This window comes from Homo sapiens, chromosome 2 (genome assembly GCF_000001405.40).
Source record: "Homo sapiens chromosome 2, GRCh38.p14 Primary Assembly".
Lineage (NCBI taxonomy): Eukaryota > Metazoa > Chordata > Mammalia > Primates > Hominidae > Homo > Homo sapiens.
The window spans coordinates 222,897,033-222,923,974 of record NC_000002.12 but is presented as its reverse complement, the minus strand read 5'-3'; the positions used below and the strand labels follow the sequence as shown (position 1 = coordinate 222,923,974).

The 26,942-nt window shown below is 39.7% G+C and overlaps 1 protein-coding gene, 1 long non-coding RNA gene and 1 pseudogene across 5 annotated transcripts in view, besides 3 other annotated features; 2 read left to right on the top strand and 1 right to left on the bottom strand.

Moving 5' to 3' along the window:
• The window catches only part of ACSL3 (acyl-CoA synthetase long chain family member 3), an 83,604-nt gene that overhangs the window by 20,665 nt on the left and 35,997 nt on the right, over window positions 1-26,942 (bottom strand). For 2 of the 4 annotated variants that reach the window (NM_004457.5, NM_001354158.2), the window contains 8 exons: window positions 23,195-23,301; window positions 14,825-15,242; window positions 7,479-7,656; window positions 5,820-5,929; window positions 4,773-4,911; window positions 2,545-2,695; window positions 1,144-1,267; window positions 826-897 (listed from right to left, as the gene is read on the bottom strand). In NM_004457.5, the coding sequence (NP_004448.2) occupies window positions 826-897; window positions 1,144-1,267; window positions 2,545-2,695; window positions 4,773-4,911; window positions 5,820-5,929; window positions 7,479-7,656; window positions 14,825-15,202 (1,152 nt within the window). In that variant the 5' untranslated portion in view covers window positions 15,203-15,242; window positions 23,195-23,301. The remainder of the gene's footprint in view (window positions 1-825; window positions 898-1,143; window positions 1,268-2,544; window positions 2,696-4,772; window positions 4,912-5,819; window positions 5,930-7,478; window positions 7,657-14,824; window positions 15,243-23,194; window positions 23,302-26,942) is intronic. The other 2 variants (NM_203372.3, NM_001354159.2) reach the window with 1 other exon arrangement.
• ACSL3-AS1 (ACSL3 antisense RNA 1) lies at window positions 4,374-7,321 on the top strand. The gene is made up of 3 exons (XR_923949.3): window positions 4,374-4,436; window positions 4,616-4,745; window positions 6,186-7,321. It is a non-coding gene; the product is annotated as an ACSL3 antisense RNA 1 (long non-coding RNA).
• Window positions 15,908-16,530: an enhancer, noted in NCBI's record as "OCT4-NANOG-H3K27ac-H3K4me1 hESC enhancer chr2:223772163-223772785 (GRCh37/hg19 assembly coordinates)". NCBI's record gives its function as "activates a minimal SCP1, AML or CMV promoter by ChIP-STARR-seq in naive H9 embryonic stem cells {active_cell/tissue: H9 hESC(naive)}" and the evidence as "EXISTENCE:reporter gene assay evidence [ECO:0000049][PMID:30033119]".
• Window positions 16,702-17,273: an enhancer, noted in NCBI's record as "H3K27ac hESC enhancer chr2:223771420-223771991 (GRCh37/hg19 assembly coordinates)". NCBI's record gives its function as "activates a minimal SCP1, AML or CMV promoter by ChIP-STARR-seq in primed H9 embryonic stem cells {active_cell/tissue: H9 hESC(primed)}" and the evidence as "EXISTENCE:reporter gene assay evidence [ECO:0000049][PMID:30033119]".
• Window positions 17,274-17,846: an enhancer, noted in NCBI's record as "OCT4-NANOG-H3K27ac hESC enhancer chr2:223770847-223771419 (GRCh37/hg19 assembly coordinates)". NCBI's record gives its function as "activates a minimal SCP1, AML or CMV promoter by ChIP-STARR-seq in naive H9 embryonic stem cells {active_cell/tissue: H9 hESC(naive)}" and the evidence as "EXISTENCE:reporter gene assay evidence [ECO:0000049][PMID:30033119]".
• ATG12P2 (autophagy related 12 pseudogene 2) lies at window positions 18,916-22,311 on the top strand (annotated as a pseudogene).

Genomic DNA, 26,942 nt, shown 5'->3' with positions numbered 1-26,942 from the left:
CGATATTGCACCAGGAAGTTTTCCTTGTCTGTGCTGCATTTTGCTTGCTAGGTCCATTACTGTGAAGTATACTTTAATGACTTAAAATAATGTTTCCTCCACAACTTTAAATTGTACGTCATTTTTAAGTGAACTAAGAATTTAAGTTGGATACTAAAGAAACTATAATTATAGAAAGAAACTACTGATTATTTATATTTGACTTTGAAGTAACTATGTAATTATTCTTGACGTAAGCATTTAGGTACCCGACAATAATTCCCATCATTTCCAAACAAACTCAGCCTATGTTATAAGGAGCCAGAAAATCACTGCTGCCCCATTTCCCTTGTCTTATTCCCAGGCCCCTATATTATGTAAGGATGAACAGCCCCTCTTAAGTCATTCAAAGCTGCACCAGCTTCTCTGTCACTTTGTTTGGTGTTTAGGCCAGACTTTCCCTGAGGACTCAGGAGGTAACTATACAGCTTGCTTAAAAGGAGGTGATCTCACACTTTCCCTCCTAGCTCTCAATAGGCTTCAAGTGTCAATGAATTCACCAACAGATATCATGAAAATAATTTTTATTTTAACAAGAAGGTATTTAGGCAAACAAGTTGATAATTACACACAGAAGCTGAAATTAAGTTGAGTGCTTAGTAAATAAGAAAGCAAGCTAAAACAAGACTGAAGAAATCCCATAGCGCCTAAGGCAATATTTATAATCAATAAGGAATAAATCCTACATAAACTACCTTGTCAACAATATATTTTTCACTAGCACTAATGCTTTGTAGCGGGTGATACTTCTTTAATACTCAATATTAAATAAGGGTCACTTCTTACCGGAACTGCTGCCATCAGTGTTGGTTTCAACATGGATGTATCCCCTTTGCTTCCTTTTTTAATTTTTGAAGACTACAAAATAAGAAAAAGTGATCCATATAAAGTGATCCTTATTTTTAAAATTCAATGGTATTCTTAGATCAAAAAGCCTATTATAAATTATTTTAATGTACTTACAGTCTAAGAAGCACTTAAAAGGCTAAAGCTCATTTTAAAATGAACCATCGCTCTCGCAATATACTGTCATACTGACTGAAAAAAATGCATTACAATTCACTATGATTTTTTAGTATTTCAAGTCACAGACACTGAACTTACCTGATCTGCTAAAGTCTGTGGTGAAGAGTAACCAATGCGGCATCCGTGAGAAAGACAGACAAGCTCAGCACTTAATTCTAGAACATGGGCCAGAGGCAAATATCCAATGTAGACATCTTCCTCTCTAAAAGAAAAGGGAGACGTCAGAAACAAAAGTCAGGTGTCGTCTATGCCAAAAGTGCCCTATAATGGGAGCAAGCTTGAAGGCACATGGAAGGGCCCCAGGGCATCAATTTGCTGGTCAAGTGTGTATGTGTTTGTGAGAGAGAGAGAGAGACAGGTGAAAACAGAGGATAGGCAGATGCTGGGGATGGGAGGGAAAAAGAATTACAGCTCAACCCAAAAGCAAGGAGGCGCACACTTGCAGGAAGGAATGCTGTTTCCCGTCCTACTTAAAAGCACTCAGGAATTATAAGCGTTGCTGAAGCAAAGTACTGAGGCACAAGAAACAGTGGCTTAAACAAATAATAATACAGGGTTCTTTTGAAGAACAGAAGAAATCATCCAAGGAGGAAATGGTCTTTACATCTAGTGGGTTGCCAACCAGAAGAGTTAAAGTAGAATCCACAACTATCTGCCAGAAATTTTACAGATAAGACTCTTGTTGTGGGAATTGGATTACATAATAAATTAGATCTTAATATACAGAAAATGTGTAAGTATTTGTATATACTTCAAGAGCTGCCCCCATAACCAAAATATAGAAGGTAACTGAGGCAAACCTGTAAGAAAATTGTTGCACTTAATTTTTTCTGAAATGTATGCATACGTAAGAGACATTCCTCCATCCCCAAGTTCAGTACCATAGCAATTACGTGAGTGTGTGTGTGCGTGTATGTTTGTAATTTCTGTGCATAAAAGCATCAAAAATATCCAACCACTGTACCCTATCGGTCATCAGAATACCAATTGCATCTCTGGCAATGTTTCCTTGACAGTCCCTCAAACTTCCATCTGGTTTCCTCCATCAGTCTCTTCCCCACTCCACTCTACCTTCCACTGCTACCACTGGAGTTTGTATTAACAAGAAAAATCAGAGACCAAATACTGAAGCTCAACAAATACTTAGTGGATAAATTAAGTTACCTGTTCACCTGAATTGTATTTAGATATAAAAAAAACTACAGCAGCAAATACAAGCTGATTAAAACAAAGGATTTACAACTATACAAATTTAAGTTCTGTACTTTTTAAAATATATCTATATGATATATTTTCAACCTCACAACTATAACTATTTTGCCATTAATTTTAATGTCCTTTTTTATTTTTTAAGGAAATGCCTACTACAAACAGACTCTGAGGGACTAATTTAGCCATATATTAATAAAATGACACAAATGCTAACATTATAACAGACATAAATACTTAACTACTCAATGTTACTTTACTATGACATACCCTAGTTCTGGAATCCTTTCTGCCATCCCAGTTATACCAGCAATAATGTTACTATGTGAGATCATGACTCCCTTTGGAAGTCCTGTGGATCCACTTGTGTACATGATTACTGCAATATCTGAGGGCAATGGTTTGCTATGAGGTTGGTTTTCTGCATTGAAGAGAAAAAACACACACATACACTTTCATGAGATTCAGCTGTATCAACAATTTCTTTTCATTATCATCAAATAAATAACTCAATCAAATTGAGTTAATTTAACTCAATTCAACAAATATTAGTTATACTGAGATCAACAAAACAGATCAAGTCCCTGCACGTATGGGAGATATATTCTATTGAGATATACAAACAGATTAACCTATGAAGAAAACTGAAGCAAGACAAGGTGAGAAGATGACAATAGATGCTATTTGGATGGAAAAGCCTGGAGACCGTCTCTGTAGAGTTTCGTTTAGCAAAGGCCTGAATAAAGTGAGGAAGGGAGCCATGGAAACCCTGGAACTGGGAGAAGAGTGTTCTAATTAGAAGGAAATAAGCAAATGCAAAGACCCAAAGGTAGGAATGTGCTCAGCATATCTAAAGACCAGCAAGGAGTGTGGCTGGAACAGAGTGAGCAAGAGGAAGAGTGGCAAGAAACAATAGTCAAGTGGCTATCAGGGACCACACATAGGACCTCAAAGGCCACGGGAAGAACTCTGGATTACGTTCTGGATGTAAAGCAATGTTGTTTTGAACAGGAGTATGTTATTATCTGTGAAAAAAAAGATCACTTTGGCTGCTGTGTGGCTAACTAACTTTACAAGGGGAAAAAAGGTATCAGGGAGACAAGATTATCCCAGTAATTCAACTAAGAAATAAAGGTAGCTTTGGACTAGAGTATCTAGGTGTTTGCTAAAAACTATTCACTGCTTCAGAATGGTGACTAACTTGGTTACACTCAGAGTCCTGCATTAAAACACGATGTGAACCATTTGAAATCAGAAGAGTACCAGCCTAAGGACAACAGCTGAGAAGCTATAGAGGTGGCACAGCAGAAGAACAAAGAGAAATAGGTCATGGTTGGCATTGCTGATATGTCTGAACCACTCCCAGAACTACTCTACATGTGAACTTCTAAATGAGTGTGAAAAAATTATTTAAATGTACTCCCAATAGAATACCCTTCCTCTCCTGTCAGTCAAGATACATTTCTTAAATAATGTTTACACTTGGAAGTCTTTACTTCCAAATCAGCCCTTCACTCCTTCAATGCACAGCACCCTTCTCCAACACCACCACTTCTTGGAAATTACAATCCTTGTGTCATCTGACCTCTGCATGCAGCCCCTGATCCTGCTGATGACTCACCAAGATCTCCTTTCCCTTGGCTTCCAGGAACCACATACTACTAGATATTTTCTTCTTTCCTCTCTGACTAGTCCTTAGTAGCCTCTGAAGCCACCATTCCCTGTTGGTGACCTCACCCCCTACTCCCACAGCTATAATTAAAACCTAACTGCTTCTAGCTTCCAAATCTCTAAGTCCAAACATAACTCGAGTACTAGACTTTTACACACCACTGTCCACAATATATCTGCATCTAAATATCCCACTACCACTCAAATTCCAGGTGCCTAAAATTTGAGTTGAGTGAATGCTTACATCTAATTACTAGGTTTCCAACTACAGAGGAAATGCAGTCCCAGCATCCCAGCAGCTTTTGCAGTATCTCTAAACACTAGTACACTAGCTAACATTTTCTGACGCTTTTTTGAGAATAGGAACTTGTAGAGTCACCATGCCTAGGTGTGCTAGTTGGAGGGTAAGGTTTTCACCTCAGGAAAGGGAAGAACTGGAACAGGGAGTAAAAGGAGGCCTCCAGGTTTAGCCACTCTGTTAACACTTACAGGTAATTCACATAGGACAAGATAAATGTCATTATTTATAAACTAACTTTAAACCACCCAAAACTATCACCATAAAAAAGAAATGAAAACTGAATGTAAAATATTTTAAATTTCAAATAAATACTACCTTTAAAACATTAATAATTAATGTTTATATTTTTCCTTAAAACTTTCTTTAAAGACAAGATGAAAGTATACCTAGAGGGACCTGTTTTCCTAACTGATGTTAGAAAACTGATGTGTCATTTGAGCTAACCTCAGAATCAAAACTTTGGCATAATTCTGGAGAATGTGGTCACCAGAAAGCACAGGTAAGGAATTAGAAAAGTGTAACATACCCATGCTGGCCTTGGCTCCCAGGGCCTCCACTGCAGCCATGGTATGCACAATGATGCCCTTGGGGAACTCGGACCAGGTCGGTGGCTTTCCATCAACAGTGATGATGTGCCGCAGGCGTGGGACCAAAGAAACTATATCCTAGAAATACACCAACATTCATCACGTTCATTATTTTTCAAGCAGCTTAGCGAATAAGAATACTAGTTTACCATATTCGGTGAATCATTAAGTAATTTCTTGCCTCAAAAAAGAAAGAAGAAAGGGTACACTGGCATAATATCACTTTTTACAGATGATTAAGTATTGGTCTGAATTTAAATTATTATTTTATAGCATTAGATTCACTGTGTGTACCCTTGGCCTTTGGTAAAACCCTGATCAAGAAGGGTACTGCCTTATAAAACGGGCATGTAAACACAGGTTGCCTAAACTGTAGAGAAACCAGAAGCCCCTCATATTTTCAAGAGACTACATAAAAATATATGGGGGAAGGAGGAGAAAATTCACATGCAAACTTGTTCAAAATTTTCTTTTTGAACAAGTTTACATGTGAATTTTCTCCTCCTTCCCCCATATAGAATAGCCCAGATATTTCTGGGAGTTGTCTAGAGACCAAAGAAACTCTTTTTACTGTAATATAATTAAAAGTCTCCCTTTTTAACTTCCAAACAATTCTGAAAACTTGTAATTACTTAATGCTTCAGAAGTAAAATAAAAATTACTAGTTTAAAATATAACCCTTCAAAATTACAAATTTACTAAAAGTAAACTAGAAAATAGATGAGCACAATAAGAGAAAAAGTAGTCGTAATTTCTTCAATTTAAACATAGGCATCTTAACAATTTATAACTCTGGATTACTTATACATGAATATATACAAAATCTACTTTTTATTTTCTAAAGGAAAAAATAAAGTATGATATTCATAAAAGTCCACAAAGATTAAGGACTTAAAAGTCATAAAAGAACTAAGTATCAATAATAGGGCTCATGACACTGAAAATTCTAAAGTATCAGACAGTTAGAAAGTAACTAGAGTCCTCACCTTCAACTTTGTTTGTAAGAGTTCTTTACTAGTAATGATGTTGGTCACCTCTGTTTCATTTAATGCATGAACAATGGCTGGACCTCCTAGAGTGGCATATAATGTAACAACTAAAAGGAAAAGCAGCAGCCAGTCAAATATTCAAACATTTAACTACAAATGTAAAGTCTCTGAATGTGGAGATGAATCATAATAACGCATTAGGAGCCCTAAACTGTTAAATCCACAGTCTATAAGTGTTATGTTTTTTAAAGTTATCTTATCATACTAATCAACATTACACCTACTCATCCTCCCCTAAATGCCCCAAGATTTCCAATTTTTAAAGATGAAGATATTTAAATTTTTATTTTGTTTCACTTACAGATGTTACTCTGGGACTACCACATTGTGAAGGAATTATAACTGATTTCTAAGACTTCAAATTCTTAATTGTTGGCCACTTGGCTTTACAATGTGAAAAAGAACATATACAAATAGGATGACACACTGAATGTCAGATTTACGGTGTATGTCAAGAAAAGAGCACAAACAAGTGGCAGTACCGTTTATTCTCAAGCAAAAATATCTAAAGACAAACATTCTCTGAAATGCTGAAATTACATAACATGAATAGTGTAGATTTTTATTTACTTTCTGCCTAACTCAAAAAAGATACACAAAATGACTTTGAAAATAATTCTTTTAAAGCTCCTCAAAAGAAACAATGTAAATCCAAACCTGTGACAACAAAAATGGAATGTTTGTTTAAAAGAAAAGGTGTAGGAGGCCTAGCACGGTGGCTCACGTTTATATTCCCAGCACTCTGGGAGGCCGAGGTGGGCGGATCACAAGGTCAGGAGATCAAGACCATCCTGGCCAACAGGGTGAAACCCCATCTCTACTAAAAATACAAAAAATTAGCCGGGCATGGCGGCATGCGCCTGCAGTCCCAGCTACTCGAGAGGCTAAGGCAGGAGAATTGCTTGAACCCGGGAGGCAGAGGCTGCAGTAACCTGAGACTGTGCCACTGCACTCCAGCCTGGCGACAGAGTGAGACTCCATCTCAAAAAAAAGAAAAAGAAAAGGTGGAGGAATTTACAGCAAGAAATCTGGTGAAAGTGTATTTTCTGTTTCATCTGAAGGATGAGACTAAACATCCACAAATTACTGTCACATTTTGGCACCGAGACCTCTGAACTTATGCTTCCAGAACTATCTCACAGACTGAGCCACCACAATTACCATTCAGATAATTACAATATGAAAACTCTATTGTTTAACCTGCACCTTGAAGTTCACCAGGTTTCAGTATGGAAGTGTTTCGGAGGTCAACTGTTGTTACTGATAGAGGTGACAGAACAAAATTGACAGTAACTTCTAAAGAGGATTCCTGAGAAATGGTATTGGAACAACGGCCCCTAAGTGTAGGTCTAGTTCTCAAGACCTGAAAGTCTCCCATGAAGAGGTTCAAGCCTCACTGCAACACTGATTGGTACAATTTGTCATATAATTGATTTATTTTCCAAAATAAACCAAAAATTCCAAGTCACAACAGAGTTCTCCACTAACTGGACACTGGGTGAAAATTAACATCAGAATTTTAACCTCTTCAGAGTAAAGTATTTCAATAAATATCAGTTAAGTTCATTCTTCCAGAAGATAAGAAAGTCTACATACGCTGAAAATTATACATAAAACACGCCTGTGCAGCTATCATCCACTCGGCCCTGGTCTCACAGAAGATGGCGATGTTGGTCTTTGGTTTCTGACCCAACATCTGTAATCCATTTCCAAAATTAAAGGCTCGAACAAAGACATCTTCATAGGAAAGCCAATTATACTGTCCAAGAATAACCTGATAAAACAAAAAAAAATTTTTTTAATGTAATCAAAATAATAATTTACAGAAGAAACCAGAATATCGTCCAAATGTTATGATGAACCAGAAAGTTACGTTTGCATAGAATTATCTTTTTAATAAAAAGCCAGAAACTGAGTTTGAGTGAAAAATCTATTTTAAAAATTAGCTATTTTGTGACATCTTCTATAACAACTCAAATCTTATATTGTAACTGGGGGGTTTTTTGGCTTTATTTTTGGTTTTCAAAAATATTGAGAGTTTGATAGGCTCGTAAAGGTCAACTGCCTGGCCAAATGGTCATACACTAATAATCTACTTATAAATTTCACCTATTTAAATGATGTAGGTGTTAACTTAATATTTAGCCTAGTACCAAGTACCGCAGATGCCAAAATTTTAATTTCTCTCTATTTAGGAATTCCTAAATGTCAGTATCAGACGGTATAAAATGATTCACAGAAACTTTCTCTATCCAAGCTAACAGAAATCTTTATGATTGCTGAACTTGAATTGCCATACCAAACTCTGGATAAGCAAAAGCAAAGTAAACAAGTTTCTGTTTACATAACCAGGTGGACTAGTTATATTATTCAAAGTCCCTCTATTCAAGCCTTAAATGCTTACTGGCACCGCCAGGTTTTCAATATTTTATCTGTTTATCGTAAGTGCTGGTAATACCAAATATGCATTAGTAAAAACTCCCTTTTGAAGTTTTTTAACATATTGTCTTTAGAAATTTTCCTCAACTTAGACAAAACCATAAATCCCTAATTACATACGGACTGTATAAAAAGCTCCTCTCTCTGCAAAAATATATAGGTAATTAATTCCCAAACATGGCTGTGTCAGTAATATACATCTCAAACACCTTAAAATCATCTGACCATGTTCATTTTATAAATGTAAACATTTAAGAAATTTCTAGAAGAGGTTGGATAAAAACGGAAAAGGATAAATGCTGCCATCTAGTGTCCCATGCAATTACGCATTTAAGAAATAAATTTTTATTTTGATGGATAAAGCAACTGCATTTAAGATGGTACTTATTTACTTTACTGGTCCCAAACTCTCACCTTGCTCTTTACCCCCATGAAATGCTCAGCACAGGGAGCTCCAATGACTTCAAAAGGAGCTCTGTGAGGGTTAGAAGACAGATGACAACTTGGCCAAAATGTGCAGGAACTGGATTATAATTATTAAGAATTTTACACTCTAAAGGTTAAGAATGCACTACCTTCCAGATTCTAATATGTAAGTGACAGGATTTATAAATTTCAAAGACTATGTGTGTTCTGAAAAGGTGTTTGATATATAATCTAAATATGTAAACTCATGCAATGATGCCACCATGTGGCAAAGGAATCAAATGAGCGTAAGATTTCCACATATGTAAAAAATAAAATATAAAACGAAATCTGAATCTCATGATTTTAATTCTTTAAACCACTGAATCATCTAGTAATTATGTTTTTCATAAATATTACATTTAGAGGACACTACCCACTCTATATTGTATCTGATTTGTGCTGGAAAAGTTTCTAATCCTAACTTTGTCCCTATGGCTAGCCCAAGACAAGATTAAACTATTTATTCCTTGCCAATATCATTGAACACTGCTGCAGAACAGCCAACCTTATTAAATCTAGGACCTCAACACCCTGAAGCAATCCTATCATACATCCCTGGTCTATTCGTTTTCTCACCCTCTGAAATACCTCTGAAACCTTCTCTCTATTCAAATAGCCTCCTCTGGGCAGGTGCACTGGCTCATGCCTGTAATCTCAACACTTTGGAAGGCTGAGACAGGCAACTCATTTGAGGCCAGGAATTCGAGACCAGCCTGGGCAACACAGCAAGACCCCATGTCTAAAAAAGTGTAAAAATTAGCCAGACGTGCAGTACATGCCTGTCGTCCCAGCTACCTAGGAGGCTGAGGCAAAAGGATCACCTGACCCCAGGAACTCAAGGCTGCAGAGAGCTATGATCATACCACTACACTCCAGCCTGGGCAAGAGTGAGACCCTGTCTCAAAATACACACACACACACACACACACACACACACACACACACACACACGTACACACACACCTTCCACCCTTCCTTCTCTCTACTTACAGGTGGTAATCTTGTCTCCTACTGAAAACCTCTTTAAGCACTAGGACTTGTTTTACTTTCACTATTTAGAAATATTTCAAAATTACACACATTCCTGTCTTCTTCAGTAAAGTACACCTGGCTTCATTTAACCATTCTCTCTGCAACTGAAGATCACTATGAAAAAATTATTCTGAGGGGAGCCACAGAGTAAAAATATTCAAGAGATCTGGATAGTTGTAATAATCATGATAATGATAATGAGGGTAACTAACCTTTATTAGTGCTTACTACATGCTAAGGACACGGCAAGTGTTAACTTATTAAACTCTTACCATACCTGTAAAAAACTGTTACTATTATTATCCCTATTTTACACATGAGAATATGGAGATGTAGAGTAAATATAACTTGTTCAAAATCATGTAACTAATAAGTAATGGGACTAGAATATGAACCCAGGCAAACTCATTCCAGAGATTAAGCATAAAATCACAATGCTTCAACTGCACTGTAGAAAGAAGTCCGGGTCTTATTAAGCAGGTGAGTAAGGTGGCCTGATTAACAATTGTGAAAAATCATTTTTATGCTGTGTGTGAGTGAATTACAGTTGGGGGCAAGTGTGGAAGCAAGGAGGCCTGCTAAAAAAAAGGCGGGGGGAGGCTGTAAGGGATGTAAATCAGACACCCCTGATTTTTTGGCTTCAACAATTTGGTATGCAGCAGTGCCTTTAATAAATAGGATGAAAGGAGAGGGACAGTTTGGAAGGGGAAACTAAGAGAAGAGTAATATAATAACCAACCCACAAATCCCAGCCAAGAGACTGACCATAATTTGTTACATATAGCATGATGCAAATGTCCTAATAAATCAGAAAATAAGTTTTATACACATACACAAACAGGGTAAAAAAATGTGACTAAGAAATAACACAAAAGACGGCATTAAGAAAGAGGAAAAGAAAGCTAAGTCAACTTACAAGGACATAAATGAGTGTTTCTATTATCTTTTTGGATCAATTTAGAAGGAATGTCATAGTGAAGTCTTCTCTAAGCACCATATTACATAATCCCTCATTCTCTTCTTATTTTTATAAAATATCTAAGAAAAAATCAAGTGTTTCTGATGGCTCACAAAGTATATGAGCCAGCTTGTACTCTTTTCTGTTTCTATTTTTAGTCTTTGCAGCTTTGTTCTATTTCAGGTATACATGTATTTTAAGGTTGTCCTGAAATCATTTCACTGTTCATTTCAAGACGACGTTAGTGCAATGCATTTACTGCTGGGAACACTGGAATCAGGTGATGCTGACACAGGTTCCAGCTCTTAACTCTGCTACAGTTTTATAAAACCATATGAAACTTAAAAGGACCCTGAAAAGGCCTGCCAAGCAACCAAGTGCCTTTTGTTTTTCTGTCCCCCAAGGAAGAATCTGGTCGTAGTGAAGCTGGTGGCTACTCTACCTTGGACACAACGAGAGCAGGGTCATCGCCACTGCCTTTTTTCATCCACTCATCCTCCCCTCAGGACCTCAAAATAGACTGTTGGGATAAGATGGAAACAAAGCTTCAAAGTTCATTAATTTGAAATAAGGCTTGTGCATCTTTCCTTCAACCATATCAGATACAACATTCTGGGGTTAATCCCCAAAAGTCTTACTCAAAAAATATTTTAAATATTGCTACAACATTCGTTTTCTTTTCCAGTTGAAGATTATCTTCAAATATGGAAACTATTTAATGAAGACACACTTCACTGAGCTTGATCAGCTAGCAGGCACTAATAGCAGAAAGTACACAGCTTAACCCACCAGTTGTGAAAGTTCCCCTTTTCAACACCCTAGGCAGATGCTGCTACTGATGCAATGCAATGGGTGTAACAAGAAACCAAGAGAGGGGAAAACGAAAAAGGCCTAGCATGTTTAACATGCAGCTGAGATACCCACTCTGCAGTCTGCAGATCACTGCCACAGCTGCAACACAGAATGAACAGAAACTAAAGCCTCAGCTAACCAGCGACACTGCACACTTTCTTCTTGAGTATGGCCAAGAGAAACTACTTGTTTCATTTATTATATGCAAAATCTAAAAATTAATTCTACTTTCCCAATGAACCTAAAGAAAACTATAACATGTTCCCAAGACACAGTCTAGACACAGCCTTCTGAACAAAGTTTGATGAACCACAAATGCCAATTTCATAGCAAATGCTAGTAGGCAGATCTTCTGACATATAGAAATTCAAAACCTCCTTTTACTAACTAAATAAAACTTCACAGTAATGAACTATAGACAGAAAAAGTTGCTAAAAAACAGTCTGTCTCACCTAACTTTTATGAGTTCAAATACTTCATACTTTGTTGAATAATCATTGAATACAAAGGCACTATGGTTAAGATAAGCAGGAAAGAGCCACATACACTTACACACGCACATTTAGGAAACAACTATCATAGCTCTAGGATTTTATTTTGTCCAGTTATACTGATACACGAATTAGGAAGAAATTTCATATTCACCACATAAGCTTTTCTTCTTTTTACACAATTGAGAACTAGTTTGCTGCTGTACATACCGAATGACGACTGAAAGACAATACTAGCCACATTAAAATGAATAAAATATGTGTGGGATACCGGAGAAAAACGAAGCTTCCTGAAACATAAGACTTCTGTATATATGCTTAGACTAAAAGAGAATCCAACCTTTGAATTCAAATAGCATATCAAAGACAAAAAAATGAATCTATAAGCAGATAGAAAAGTAGAAAACTTTTGCACATAAAAATGTACTGTTTTCAGTACCTTCTCATAACTACCCGATTTCTCAAAAACAGACTCAAGAACAGAGTGCCATAAAAAGCTGTGCTGGTTGGGCGCTGTGGCTCATGCCTGTAATCCCAGCACTTTGGGAGGCCGAGGTGGGCGGATCACCTGAGGCTGGGAGTTCGAGACCAGCCTGACCAACATGGAGAAACCTTGTCTCTACTAAAAACACAAAATTAGCCGGACGTGGTGGCGCATGCCTGTAATCCCAACTACTCGGGAGGCTGAGCCAGGACAATCACTTGAACCCAGAAGGCGGACGTTGCGGTGAGCTGAGACGGCACCATTGCACTCCAGCCTGGGCAACAAGAGTGAAACTCCATCTCAAAAAAAAAAAAAAAAAAAAAGGCAGTGCCAGATATGTAAATATGACAAAAGCAAACTTCATTATGATAAAATGTTTTGGAAATTACAATCCATAGGCTGGAAAAGAAAAATCAAACATGCTTAACTCATGATTTCAATTTCTAGAAATGTGCTATTAACTTCAGCGAGATCTTAAATAGAAAAAAATTCAGTTTTTTCTAAGTCTGCAAAAGAAATAGGGAATATGTCTTAAAAATAAGGTGACCACATAACTATCCAAACTAGGGCACTTTTGAGACTGTAAGGGGGCACTATTAATGTCACAGCAACAAGTATAAATCAGGATGGTTTCAGATAAAACAAGATACACAACTACTCTATTTAAACGTGAGGAAATTTACATATTCTGTTGTCAAGTTAAAATGTTTTTAGTTTCTAGGAATTACTGACATCAACTTGCTTGGCATCTCCTTCATGTTTTGAGGAAAATGATGTATGAAATTTGTTTAAGTGGCAAAATTAATGGGCCATATATAGAGGAGGTTAAGCAACATCCCTCTGGCCCTCCAGTAAAAGAGGAGCTCTGAGTTTTTCATTCCATAGTTGCAGTTATTTGGACTCTCCTTCAAGAGTTGACGGTTTCCTTGTAACTGACAGGAAAAAAAGCCAGTTGGGGATCAAAGTAGCTGGAAATGGTTAAAAGATATTAAACCTATTACCTAACCAAATTATCAACCAACTACACATCACTTCACTGTACCCCCTCTAAAAAATACTTTATCTTCAATTTTTAACTTACTAGAGTTTCAAGAACTGCTCATAAGGAAGTCACATATCCAAGTTCATAAACGGCATTCTCACGCCATTTCTATACTACCAGTGAAACACACTATTCCACGATCTAATTTTCCTCATTGAATTTTCTACTATAATTTTCCTCATTGAATTCTCAAGATAATAGTAATCTAATAATAAAAGCTAGAGCATTTACATTAAGTGCCACAAATTGTTCTAAGCACATTGCAGATATATACACACACACTCAATCCTCACAAGCATGAAAGCTGTGATCAGTGAAGAATGGAGGGTATGAGTTCTGGAGCCAGAAGGCCTGGATTCCAGTCCCAGCTTCCCTAGCTGTAGTGTCCCTGGGGTAGGTTACCTCAACTATCTGTGCCTCAGTGCTGTCATCTGTAAAGTGAAAATAATAACAACTAACTCATAGGGTAACTGTGAGTCTTAAGATGATATATGTAAAGCTCTTAGAACAGCTTGGCTCTTGAGTGTCAGTAATGATCATTATCTTCATATTACAGAAAAAGAAACTGAGGCGAATTAGTTAACCTACTTTTCCAGGGTCAGAAAGCCAGTTAAGTGGCAAAGCCAAGATTCAGACCTATAGTCTGGGTCTGGAGTCCAGGCTCTTAATCGCTGTTACACTGCCTCTGAGAACATCTTGCCCGTTGTTTCAAATCAACAATGGCAGGTTTCTCCATATTTCTGAAAAGAAATGTTTTAAGAACCATGCAACTGCCACAGCCAAAGTACAAAGACATGAAGCACTCACTGCAACCCACATCTAAGCCACATTTAACACAGCAGGTCCCACCCCAAAACCTGGAGCCATTTCCAGCACCCAGCTGCTCTAGAGACAGGGAGTATGGTTTCATACTCAAAACTGCCCTAGACATTCCAAACCCTGGTAGACACTGGGGAAGAGCTCCACACCACTGGGTTGCGATGTCCTTCTGAAAACTCAGAACATATCAGTGCTGGTAAGTACAGGAAGAAATTAGAAGGTAGTCTAGCCCCCTTCCTACACTGCTTCTCCTTCAACAGCGAATTCTAATGGAGGCAGGCTGTGCTTGCCCTTTACTTCATTTCTAACAGGATATTTTATTCGAAAGAATTCAAAGGCAATGAAAGATCATCTTACCTTTTTAAAAATTTTTCCATTTGGTTGTACTTCATCTTCCTCATTTAAAACTTCACGTGTTCCCAAGAGTCTTTTGTTCTTAAATTTGTTTTTTGCATATGTAAAAACTTTATCTAAAGTATCACATCCAGGGTATAATACTGAAGCCAAACCATCCAAACTATTAACAGATCTGTATGCAGAATCAGGTTTTGAATTTACAGGCTTTGCTTTAATTCGGTTTGATTTTTCTTGTCTTGACTCGGAGAAAAAATAAAACGGAATGTATGTTAAAATAGTATAAAGTGATATTAGAAAATGTATAAAATATAAAAGAATAGGGTTGATGGTATGTTTTAGCTTCATGGTAGATGGTTTTGAAGACACGTGGTTATTCATAAGTACTCAAAAAGTAGAATTAACAGACTTCAGCGAGAATCTAGGAGGAAGAAAAAGAAAGGCGTTAGTTCAAAATCATTTTAAAATAATTTAAAGAAAAGTTACATCGGCAAATGAAGATTTTTTTTTTTCTATCAGGCAGCAGCTACCACACTGGTCCCCTACAATGTCTTGATATTTCTAAGAGACTCATTTGTACAATATCTATTAACAACGGAATTACAAGAAAAGTTTCCACATCATACTGTAAACAGGCGGCTGTTCCAACCAAAACCTTAAGTATCCACAAACATTTCCCAGTAGTAAAAAGGGAGCAAGTCAGAAAGAGGGTTGGGGGAAGACCAAAAATTTACCCATTTCCTGTGCTTTAGCATCTCACTGCATTAGGGATGGCAAGTACTTTACAAATACAACACATCCATCCTCTCTCACAGCCCCAGCAGCCACTGCCAAATAATCACCACATTCCTTCCCTGTGAGCCCCATTCTCACTCTAGTCAGCAACAAGCAACTGGAGTTTGCAAACACAAAAAATTCATTTTCCACAATGGCTCTACAGATAGTTTTCAAGTTAGGTTAAACTATGACGCAAGAAAGCAGTATACTTTGGTCATTCTGTACTTTGCATTCATCAGATTTATTGAAAATCCACTATGTTAGATATCGTTCTAAGCACTGCGAAAGTAACAGTAAACAAAACGGCCTAAGTTCCCACTCTCGTGCAACCTACACGTTCACTGGGAGAGGTAGACAAGCAAATATGTAGGTATGCATGCATGCATGTGTACGTGCCAGATGGTGATAAATGTTATGAGGAAAATAAACCCAGGTAAGGAAAATAGAAAGTGACTGGGGCAACGTTGGAGAGGTGCTACAGCTAAGTGATATCTGAACAGAGACTCATAAGGAAGAGAGAGCGTACCATGTGCCTATTTGGGTAAGAAAGAGCACTCCGGGCAGAGGGGAACAGCCATTGTGTGGCAGGTGGGTAATAATACCTTTTTTTTTTTTTTTTTAAAGACAGGATCTCACCCAGGATAGAGTACAGTACAAGATTATAGCTCACTGCAGCCTCAAACTCTTGGACTCAAGCGATTCTCTCTCCTCAGCCTCCCAAACAGTTGGGACTACAGGCATGTGTGACCACACTCAGCTAATTTTTCAAAATTTTTTTTGTAGAGACAGGCTCTCATGATGCTGCCCCAGCTGGTCTCAAACTCCTGGCTTCAAGCAATTCTCCCACCTGAGCCTCCCAAAGTGCTGGGATTACAGGTGTTAGCCACCACATCCGGCCATCATTCTTGAAGAAACAAAACTGAAGCTAACTAGTAACTAGTTAACCCTACCCAGCTCCAAATCCAGGACTACGATTTCTTCCCAAGTGACGCAAGCAGCCAGCATTTTTCACCTCCTACCCCTAGCTCTGTGTTGCAGAAATTCTATTCCAGGCAAGTGTAGATAGATGAGAGAACTGAAGAATCCTTTCTCTTTCATCCAGTCCCCATTCTTAGGGCAGAAGCTCTACCCCAGATGCATCAGGCCAAGGACACCAAGCACAGATCATCTTTGCCTCACCTCTTGTAAAGCAGAGGTTCCATGCAGGCCAAGAAGCTCCAAACAGAGAAGACTGATGGGTACATTGATGGCCTAGTAGACCACTCACAGAACAGATATAACTATAAGAAAATCAAGCTGCTGTCCCCAGCCCCAGCTCCAGAACAATGGCACAAAGGTTCTGCACAGGCTGGAGAAGCAGGCTGTAAGAACACAGAGCCCCTTAGCAATTTCTAAGACCGACTATATTTAGAACAAAGAATGGAAAAGTTCATGCCTAATGGCACTGTCAAAAACAACACAGACATTGGTGGTAAGCAATTATGATGAGGCTGCCCAGTACTTTGGGAGGCCAGGGAGGACAGAACACAAAATCAGGAGATCGAGACCATCCTGGCCAACACAGTGAAACCCCGTCTCTACTAAAAATACAAAAATTAGCTGGGCGTGATGGTACACGCCTGTAGTCCCAGCTACTCGGGAGGCTGAGGCAGGAGAATCGCTTGAACCTGGGAGGCGGAGATTGCAGTGAGCAGAGATAGCGCCACTGCACTCCAGCCCAGCAACAGAGCAAGATTCCATCTAAAAAAAAAAAAAAAATGAGGCTGGTAGTTCTGTGACAGCAGCAAGTGAAAGACTAACCAACTACTGTAGAAGTTTCACAGAGAACCAGGGAAAGAGATACCTAAGAATCCTCCTTTTTGACATGACAAGCCTCAAAGACTGCCATCAAACACAACCCCTATACAAAGGGCATCTTAATTTAACTGGATCACAAGTGGGGAAATTTATGGCCCAAAGCTTTGTCCAAAACAATAAAGCAATCAGTTAGCAATTAGTGAAGAATAGTTGCTGGGTGGTGATACCAATGAAAGCAGAAGCTTAACAAGGAGATCTGAGAGTTAAAGAAAGCCCTGCTGAAAATCGGCTATCATCTCTCAAGAAGGGCAGTCCAGGGTGACTATGTGCGTGCCCAAGTGTACCCTCTTGAGGAGAAACATCTGAGGGTACACTGTGCAGAATAAACAAACCTCAGTGTAATAGCTCAGCCAAGTCAGTTAACAAATAAGGAAACAACACAACAAGCAGCAGCCCTGGAAGAGGGGAGGGAAAATCAGTATTCCGAGTTGCTACAAAATACTATCTAAAATGCCCAGTTTACAACACAAAATCATGAGGCATGCAAATAAACAGAAAAGTATGACACACAGAAAGAAGGGAAAAGCAGGCAGCAGAAATTGTCCTTGAAGGCCCAGATGTCAGACTTAGTAGACAAGACAGCAAAGCAGCTATTATAAATATGTTCAAAGAACTAAAAGACTGAATTCTAGCACTCTGGAAAAAAAAAAAAAGAACTAAAGGAAATCATGCTTAAAATACCAAAAATCCAAATCGATTTTACAAGTTAAGGAACACCTCCAAATTTGCTCATGCACAGCTGATGAGAAGTCAGGACTCCCAACTGAGCCTCAGGCTCTGTTCACCATTCCAGGCTATTTTCTTTGACAATGTATTGTGTAGTAATCCAAAGACTGGTCGAGGGAATTTGGTTTTTGCCATAAAGGTCATGGGGAGACATTAAAGCTTTCTGTACAGGAAAATGGCAAAATGAAAACAAACGGTCTTGCTACACCTAGAACATCAGAGTTGCAAAGAATAAACATACCCTAATAACCCAGAAGAAAGATGTTATCCAACTAAGTTCTCTCACTAAAATTTAATTTTGCATGTTTGTTTTTGAATTAAAAATAATATCATGGCCAGACATGGTGGCTCATGCCTGTAATCCCAGCACTTTGGGAGGCCAAGGCAGGCGGATTGCTTGAGCCCAGCAGTTCAAGACCAGCCGGGGCAATATAGTAAAACCTCATCTCTACAAAAAAGAGAAAAATTAGCAGGGTGTGGTGGTGCACACTTGTAGTCCCTGCTACTCGGGAGACTGAGATGGGAGGATCACCTCAGCCTAGGGAGATCGAGGCTGCAATGAGCTGTGATCCTGCCACTGCACTCCAGCTTGGGCAACAAAGCAAGACCCTGTCTCAAAAAACATATATAAAAAAATTAGCCAGATGCAGTGGCTTATCATGAGGCTGAGGCAGGCCTGTTTGAGCTCTTACCACCCCTGAACAATCCTTTTCAAAATCTCACCTGGGACCTAACAAGATGGCAGAAGCTGAAGACAATGTCACAGCTACCTCCCTTAACTGCTGCTGGCAGCAAAGGACTTACTCTAGAGGTCTCCCCAAAGCAAGCACCTCAGACCCCCCTTATTCCACTGTAGTTTCCTGGGACACAGGATCCTGCTGGCAACATCAAGAAAATTCTGACATCCTACTAAAGGCTGTGGGACATGTTCCTATTATGAAAACAAAGAAGCAGGCAGTAGAGTGAACTCGAACCATCCAAAGACTCCTTGACTTCATCAAAAAAGTTCCTTAAACTTGCAACCTCAGTTGTTTATTTATGTGAGTCAGGCTTTTGCTCTTTCCCTGGACCAGGAATTTGGAACCTTCTATGAGTGTTTCAGCAGTGATGGTAAACTAGTTCTACATTACTGCAAATCTCAGGCATGGGAATGAACCACAGAAAAAAACAACTTGCTACTTAAAATGAATTTTCACAGAGGAAATAGTTCTGAAAAGTTTTGATGCTTTGTAGCAAGAGCCTTAACAGATATGACCTATTCAGTATGTGTCCACTATGACCTATGCTAATGCCTAAGAAAACATCCACAGCATGAATGGACTCACAAAAACGTGATTTGTATTAATATACAAATCATCATAAAAGACTGACATCAGAGCAGACCCACCGTTCCTATACATTACTATTCTCATTGCCACAGATCTGCCTCCAAGGTTGAAATGGAGACTAAGACCATATAAACTTCACTACCAGTTCTCAAAATGACCATAATTGTTTTTTGTTTTGTTTTGTTTTGTTTTTTGAGATGGAGTTTCGCTCTTGTTGCCCAGGCTGGAGTGCAATGGTGCGATCTCGGCTCACTGCAACCTCCGCCTCCCAGGTTCAAGCAATTCTCCTGCCTCAGACTCCCGAGTAGCTGGGATTACAGGCATGCACCATCACGCCCGGCTAATTTTGTATTTTTAGTAGAGACGGGGTTTCTCCATGTTGAGGCTGGTCTCGAACTCCTGACCTCAGGTGATCCGCCCGCCTCGGCCTCCCAAAGTACTGGGATTACAGGCGTGAGCCACCGCGCCCAGCCGACCATAATTGTTTTAATGGTAAAAGTTTATTAAAGGGCTTTTTTTTTTTAACTATTCAGGGAACTTCAGTTTGTTTGGGATATGGGATGTTTACATTTATACCCACTGTGTTACCTTCTTGTAAAATAGTCATATTGACCTGCTCACTGAATACCTTAAATAGTCCAGTAGAGGGCAGCCCTGCTGGCAAAAAGGGTTTTACATCTTTACCACACAGTAACAGGAGAAAAGACTGTTTTGTTAATTTTTAGCTAATATCTAGTCAGGAGAGCAAGCATGTTGGGCAAACTGGAAGACTATTTCAGAGAATATACATAGTTTAAATTTATTCCATTGGGATACAGAAAAAAATTTTATAAATTCTGGACAAATGACTCATATAACTCTTTTCAATCCTATCATTTAATATTTCTTGAGTTCCAATCATATAACTATGGTGTTACTCTGTCATTTATTTATATAGTATCAAAAGAACTAAATAATCCCAGCAACATCTTTGAGTGTTTCACAATGCACTTTCCAACTTGAAAGCAATCAATAATTGAAAAACAGGCCAGCATGGTGGCTCACAACTGTAATCCCAGGACTTTGGGAGGCCAGGACAAATGGATCACTTGAGCTCAGAAGTTTGAGACCAGCCTGGGAAACATGACGAAGCCCTGTCTCTACAAAAACTACAAAAGTTAGCCAGGTATGGTGGCACACACTTGTAGTACCAGCTACTCAAGAGGCGGAATCAAGTGGGAGGATGACTTGAGACCAGGAGATGAAAAGTGCGATAAGTTAAGATCATGCCACTGCACTCCGGCCTGGGCCACGAAGCCAGACCTCATCTCAAAAAAAAAAAGAAAATCAACCTTCAATTTTACGTCTATTTCATGACATGACTAACAGTACCATTTTTACTGATGCTACTAGGCTGTAATTTCCTAAGGTGTGATTTGACTTTTTTTTCTTCCTTCTATTTGTAGTACCATATTGATAGAGGCTGGAGGCAGACAAATACCTAGGCAGATAGGGTAGAGTCCCCGGTGAAACCTCACCTTCAAGCCTAAAGCAACCTGAAGGCTGAAAGACTGGACTGCTGGTCCAGGTTGAAACCCGTGACCCAGAGGGAGAAAGTCTGTCCCAGTTTGCCCACCGTTTCCTGACTGATTCTTTCTGAATAATGCCCTAGGGTGGAGCCACCAGGAATTTGTGCCTCATGCAGAGGAGAAGTCTGCACTCTTCAGCTCCTGTGTGGTGGCCCTGGTATTCAATTTGTGAGGTAGAAACCTGCCTGCAGGACCCCTCTCTTTGCTGAGCTTTCCTTTTGCTTAATAAATTCCGCCCTCCTCATCCTTCAATGTGTCCACATGCCTAATTTTTTTCTGGTCATGAGACAAGAACCTGGATTTAGCTGAACTAAGGAGCAAGAATCCTGCATCAATATCTTTTTTAAAGCATTATAATAAATTGAATGGCATGTACAAACAAGATCTAAGGTATGTACTAGAATTCCAAGTATTTATTTTCAAAGGTAATGGTGTGAATGGTATGATTTTATTGAAGGATTTGAATTATATTTTAATCCCTTAAAGCCCAGAATGCAATTTATGGCTACAGGGATCTGCCATACATTAGCCTCAGGGGACGCTAAGTAACAACTAAATTTATAGTGATGAAATCACTGTCTAGTTCTCATTTTCTACCCAAACCTATGAATTTTTGAGTCCCCTTACATCAATGTCTTTATGTAATTAATATAGCTAATAGCACTAGAATAATACTGACAAGTTGAATTACATAACATTATCTTACAAGATTATAAAAATTTGCAATTATGTTGAAAGCTGGAAAGTGTATCAAGTTAAATAAGTTGGATATGAAAAAAGACTTATCTAATTTTGTCCACTTAGTTTACTTAAGTGAATATATTTACACGCATGTATTTAACAAGTAACAAAAATATGTTAAATTTGGGTATTGTGTTTACCACTGAGGTTTCAGATGATAGAATATTTGCTACCTCAACAATATTTGAGTTCTTTTTTTTTTTTTTTTTTTTTGAGACCGAGTCTCACTCTGTCACCCAGGCTGGAGTGCAGTGGCGCGATCTCGGCTCACTACAACCTTCGCCTCCGGGTTCAAGTGATTCTCCTGCCTCAGCCTCCCGAGTAGCTGAGACTACAGGCGTGCTCAATCACGCCCAGCTAATTTTTGTATTTTTAGTAAAGATGGGGTTTCACCATGTTGGCCAGGATGGTCTCGATCTCTTGACCTTGTGATCCGCCCACCTTGGCCTCCCAAAGTGCTGGGATTACAGGCGTGGGCCACCATGCCCAGCCTTTTCTTTTGGACCTAAATAACTAGTTCATTAAATCTAAGGTTAGCTTAAAAAAGATCTCAGCTGTATAAAAGCTGGCTTTTAGACAGAAATAAGTAAGCTGATTTTAAAATTCACATGGATATTAAAAGCACCCAGAACAGCCAAACAATCTTGAAAAAGAACAAACTTGGATGACTTATATGTCTTAATTTTAAAATTTACTATAAAGGAAAAGTAATTAAGATGGTGTGGTACTGGCAAAAGGACAGACAGATAGATCAATGGAGTCAATTTAAGAATCCAGAAATAAATCCTTATATTATGGACAACTGAATTTCAATGGGGTGGTGAGAAAATTTAATGGGGAAAGAACAGTCTTTTCAACAAATGGTACTGAAATAACTAACAAGCAAAAGTTGTAACCCTTCCTTACACCATACAAAAAGTTAACTCAAATTGATCATATAACCTAAAGGTAAGTATTAATCAAGTGTTAATGGTGCTTCAGGAAGAGTACAGTAAAAGGTAGAGACTAGTTCTGGCATTTTCTGAGAAATCTTCTTGGATCAAATGGCAATTTTTTGTGATCTTAAAAGGCTGAGGACAAGTGAAGATGGTGTAGGGGAGTGGGAGTAGGGATGGAGCTTTAGAAGTTATGGCACCACACAGATTGACCAAGCACCAAAAAGTTTGTCTTTTGTTCAAGCAACAAAAAATAAACCAGAAGAGCAGGGCTGGGAGGAGACGAAGTTGAACTGTTGTGCCCTTTGAAAAGAACTTAGTTTGCATTCTAATGTACACAAATGCAGGTTTAGAAAATAACTATCTGTAGAAGACAATGTGAAGGCAGCAGAAACAAAAGGCAAAGAAATTAGATAAAAATCAGTGAAAGTAATTCTTTACCTTCCTCGATCAAGAGGCTAAGGTGGTGTGACACAGGACCAGCAGCTTCTGAGGGTGGCAAATGTTACAGCTGTTTCCCCAGTCCTTCCCAACAACGAATTCTGTATCTGAATACAATATAGAATTAAGTCATGAATTAGAGCTGTAACAATACAAGGAGAGAAAATGATCTTGGTGCCTTCCACCAAGACAGAAATACAAGAAGTAAAATAGGTGGTCAGTGGTTGCATGGTTGGTAGAAAGAAAATAAATACAGTCTTGAAAATACGGGTTTAAGATTCCTGTGAGTCATCCAAATATACACAAACTGTGAAACTTCAGAGAGGCCAGAGCTAGAGGCACACATTTTGGAGCCATAAAGAGAAGGATGAGAATGCCCAAACAGAACACATAGGAAATCTACAAGATCAAGCTCAAGGACAGAAAACTTTGAAAAGAAACCAATCCATGGGGCCGAGAAGGAGAAAGTACCACTGAGGAAACCAATAAGAAAATGGAGAGGACAGTGTTGCAAAAGCCAAGGGAGGGGAGAGCCACAGAGCAAGTATTCAAGGGCGTCAAATGCAGCCTAGTGATACCAGCCACATTCAATTAAGCCATTTAATTTTTCTAAAATGTTCTAGATAAATTAAGTAAAGTAACAAATTTGGACAACCGCATCTTATTTGCTAGGTGGCTCTAAAAAATCTTTAGAACTAGTCATAGATACTTTATGTTGCTACACCTTAGAATGAGTATTACTGTCAGAGGCGTTTGAACCAGAGCGACTCCGTCTTTGGTGAGGGCTAGGAAAATGAGGCTGGGACTTGCTGGGCTGCATTCCCAGAAAATTAGGCATTCCGAGCCTCCGGGTGTTTCCAGTTAAGGGAACAAATTAATAATGTTTAAAAAACAGATCCAGACTTGGGAGTGTCCAGATATCCCGATATCTGGAGAACAAAGGCATTCCTAATTTTGCTTTAAAGATAACATTGATTTTTGCAATGTTATCTTAATATAGTAATTAAGAAAATTATTCCTTTATCACAAACCCTGTAGCAGAGCACATCTTCCCATGTATACCAGCACTGTACCCAGGGTGGGCGCGTTCCTCCTCTTACTTTCAGGAGCATCCTACTCTGTCTATGGAGTAGCTATTCTTGCGCCACTTTATGTTCTTAATAAACTTGCCTCTATTTTGCACTATGGACTCGCCCTGAATTCTTTCTTGCGCAAGATCCGAGAACCTTCCCTTCAGGTTTAGATCAGGACCCCTGTCCTGTAACATTATCTTTCTCTTTTTATTTATTTATTTTTTTATTCTTTTTTGAGAGAGAGTCCCGTCCGTTGCCTGGCTGGAGAGCAGTGATGCGATCTCGGCTCACTGCAAGCTCTGCCTCCCAGGTTCAAGCGATTCTCCTGCCTCAGCCTCCTGAGTAGCTGGGACGACAGTCGCCTGCCACCACGCCCAGCTAATTTTTGTATTTTTTAGTAGAGATGGGATTTCACCGTGTTAGAACATTATCTTTCAAAAGTAAAAGTAAACTTGAACAGCTAAATCTGTCAATTTTTCTTTCACAGCTTCTAGGTTTCCAATCTAGTTTTAAAAGGCCTCAGCTATCCAAAGGTTAAACTATCAGTCTCCTGTATTTTTTCCAGTGTTTACCTAATTTTTACATCTAGATCTTTAATTCAACAGTGTTTATTTTTCTATATCGTATGACGGTGAAAGCTAAATTCTTTCCTCTCAGATAAACTGCCTAAAGCATTTTTAAATAAACCACTCTTTTCTCAAATAGACAAAATGTCCTCTTCATTAATAATTTCTCATTCACACTTGAATGTGTTTCTAAACACCATTCTGTTCCTGCCATGTATTTGCCTACTACTTTGCTAATACCCCTTTATACCAAATATAAATTTACAGCAATGCTTCTTTTTTTGTTTTGTTTTCGTTTGTTTGTTTTTGTTTTTTGAGACAGAGTCTCACTCTTTTGCCCAGGCTGGAGTGCAGTGGCGCAATCTCGGCTCACTGCAAGCTCCGCCTCCCGGGTTCACGCCATTCTCCTGCCTCAGCCTCCCGAGTAGCTGGGACTACAGGCGCCCGCCACTGCGCCCGGCTAATTTTGTTTTTGTATCTTTAGTAGAGACAGGGTTTCACTGTGTTAGCCGGGATGGTCTCGATCTCCTACCTCGTGATCCGCCCGCCTCGGCCTCCCAAAGTGCAATGTTTCTTAAATGTGGCCCATGGACCAATCATATCAGAATTACCTTAGAGGTCATTTAAAATGAAGATTCCTCAGATATGCCTCCCTATGTTCCTTACTGCCCCAATACCTAAAAATTGAAAACTCCTGTGACAGATTCATTTTTAAAATGCAACCATGCAGGTTTTTGTACACTAATGCTTGAGAACTTCTGCTTTAAATATCTGGTAAGACCTTCACTACCCACATTTTTCAAAATTCTCATTGATTCTTATAGAGTTATTTTCCTACAAAATCCAGAGGAGTTAACATTTCTGTATGACGAAACACAACTTTAAAAGAATCAAAAGGAAAACAAGTGTCCAGGAAAAAATGCTGACAAAATATACAAAGAGCGCCTATAAATTAAAATAAAAGTCAAGCAACACAAGGAAAATGGGCACAGAGTATGAACAGGGAAGCCAAAAAAGAGGAAATAAAAGAGGAAGCCTGAGAGTTAAACACTGGTTTTGATAATGTGAAGGTCTCCACTGACCTTAAACTTGAAAAGAGCTTAAGTGTTAAGGACCAAAGCTCAAATGAAGAGGGTTCAAGAAAGGGCAGAAAGACAGTAAGTAGAAAGAGCTCTAAAGAACAAAGTAGCTCCCCCTCCCCCTCCCCCTCCCCCTCCCCCTCTCCCTCTCCACGGTCTCCCTCTGATGCCGAGCCGAAGCTGGACTGTACTGCTGCGATCTCGGCTCACTGCAACCTCCATGCCTGAGTCTCCTGCCTCAGCCTGCCGAGTGCCTGCGATTGCAGGCGCGCGTCACCACGCCTGACTGGTTTTCGTTTTTTTTTGGTGGAGACGGGGTTTTGCTGTGTTGGCCGGGCCGGTCTCCAGCTCCTAACCGCGAGTGATCCGCCAGCCTCGGCCTCCCGAGGTGCCGGGATGGCAGACGGAGTCTCGTTCACTCAGTGCTCAATGGTGCCAAGGCTGGAGTGCAGTGGCGTGATCTCGGCTCGCTACAACCACCTCCCAGCCGCCTGCCTTGGCCTCCCAAAGAGCCGAGATTGCAGCCTCTGCCCGGCCGCCACCCCGTCTGGGAAGTGAGGAGCGTCTCTGCCTGGCCGCCCATCGTCTGGGATATGAGGAGCCCCTCTGCCTGGCTGCCCAGTCTGGAAAGTGAGGAGCGTCTCTGCCCGTCCGCCATCCCATCTAGGAAGCGAGGAGCGCCACTTCCCCGCCGCCATCCCATCTAGGAAGTGAGGAGCGTCTCTGCCCGGCCGCCCATCGTCTGAGAGGTGGGGAGCACCTCTGCCCCGCCGCCCTGTCTGGGATGTGAGGAGCGCCTCTGCCCGGCCGCCCCGTCTGAGAAGTGAGGAAACCCTCTGCCTGGCAACCGCCCCGTCTGAGAAGTGAGGAGCCCCTCCGTCCAGCAGCCACCCCGTCTGGGAAGTGAGGAGCGTCTCCGCCCGGCAGCCACCCCGTCCGGGAGGGAGGTGGGGGGGGGTCAGCCCCCCGCCCGGCCAGCCGCCCCGTCCGGGAGGTGAGGGGCTCCTCTGCCCGGCCGCCCCCACTGGGA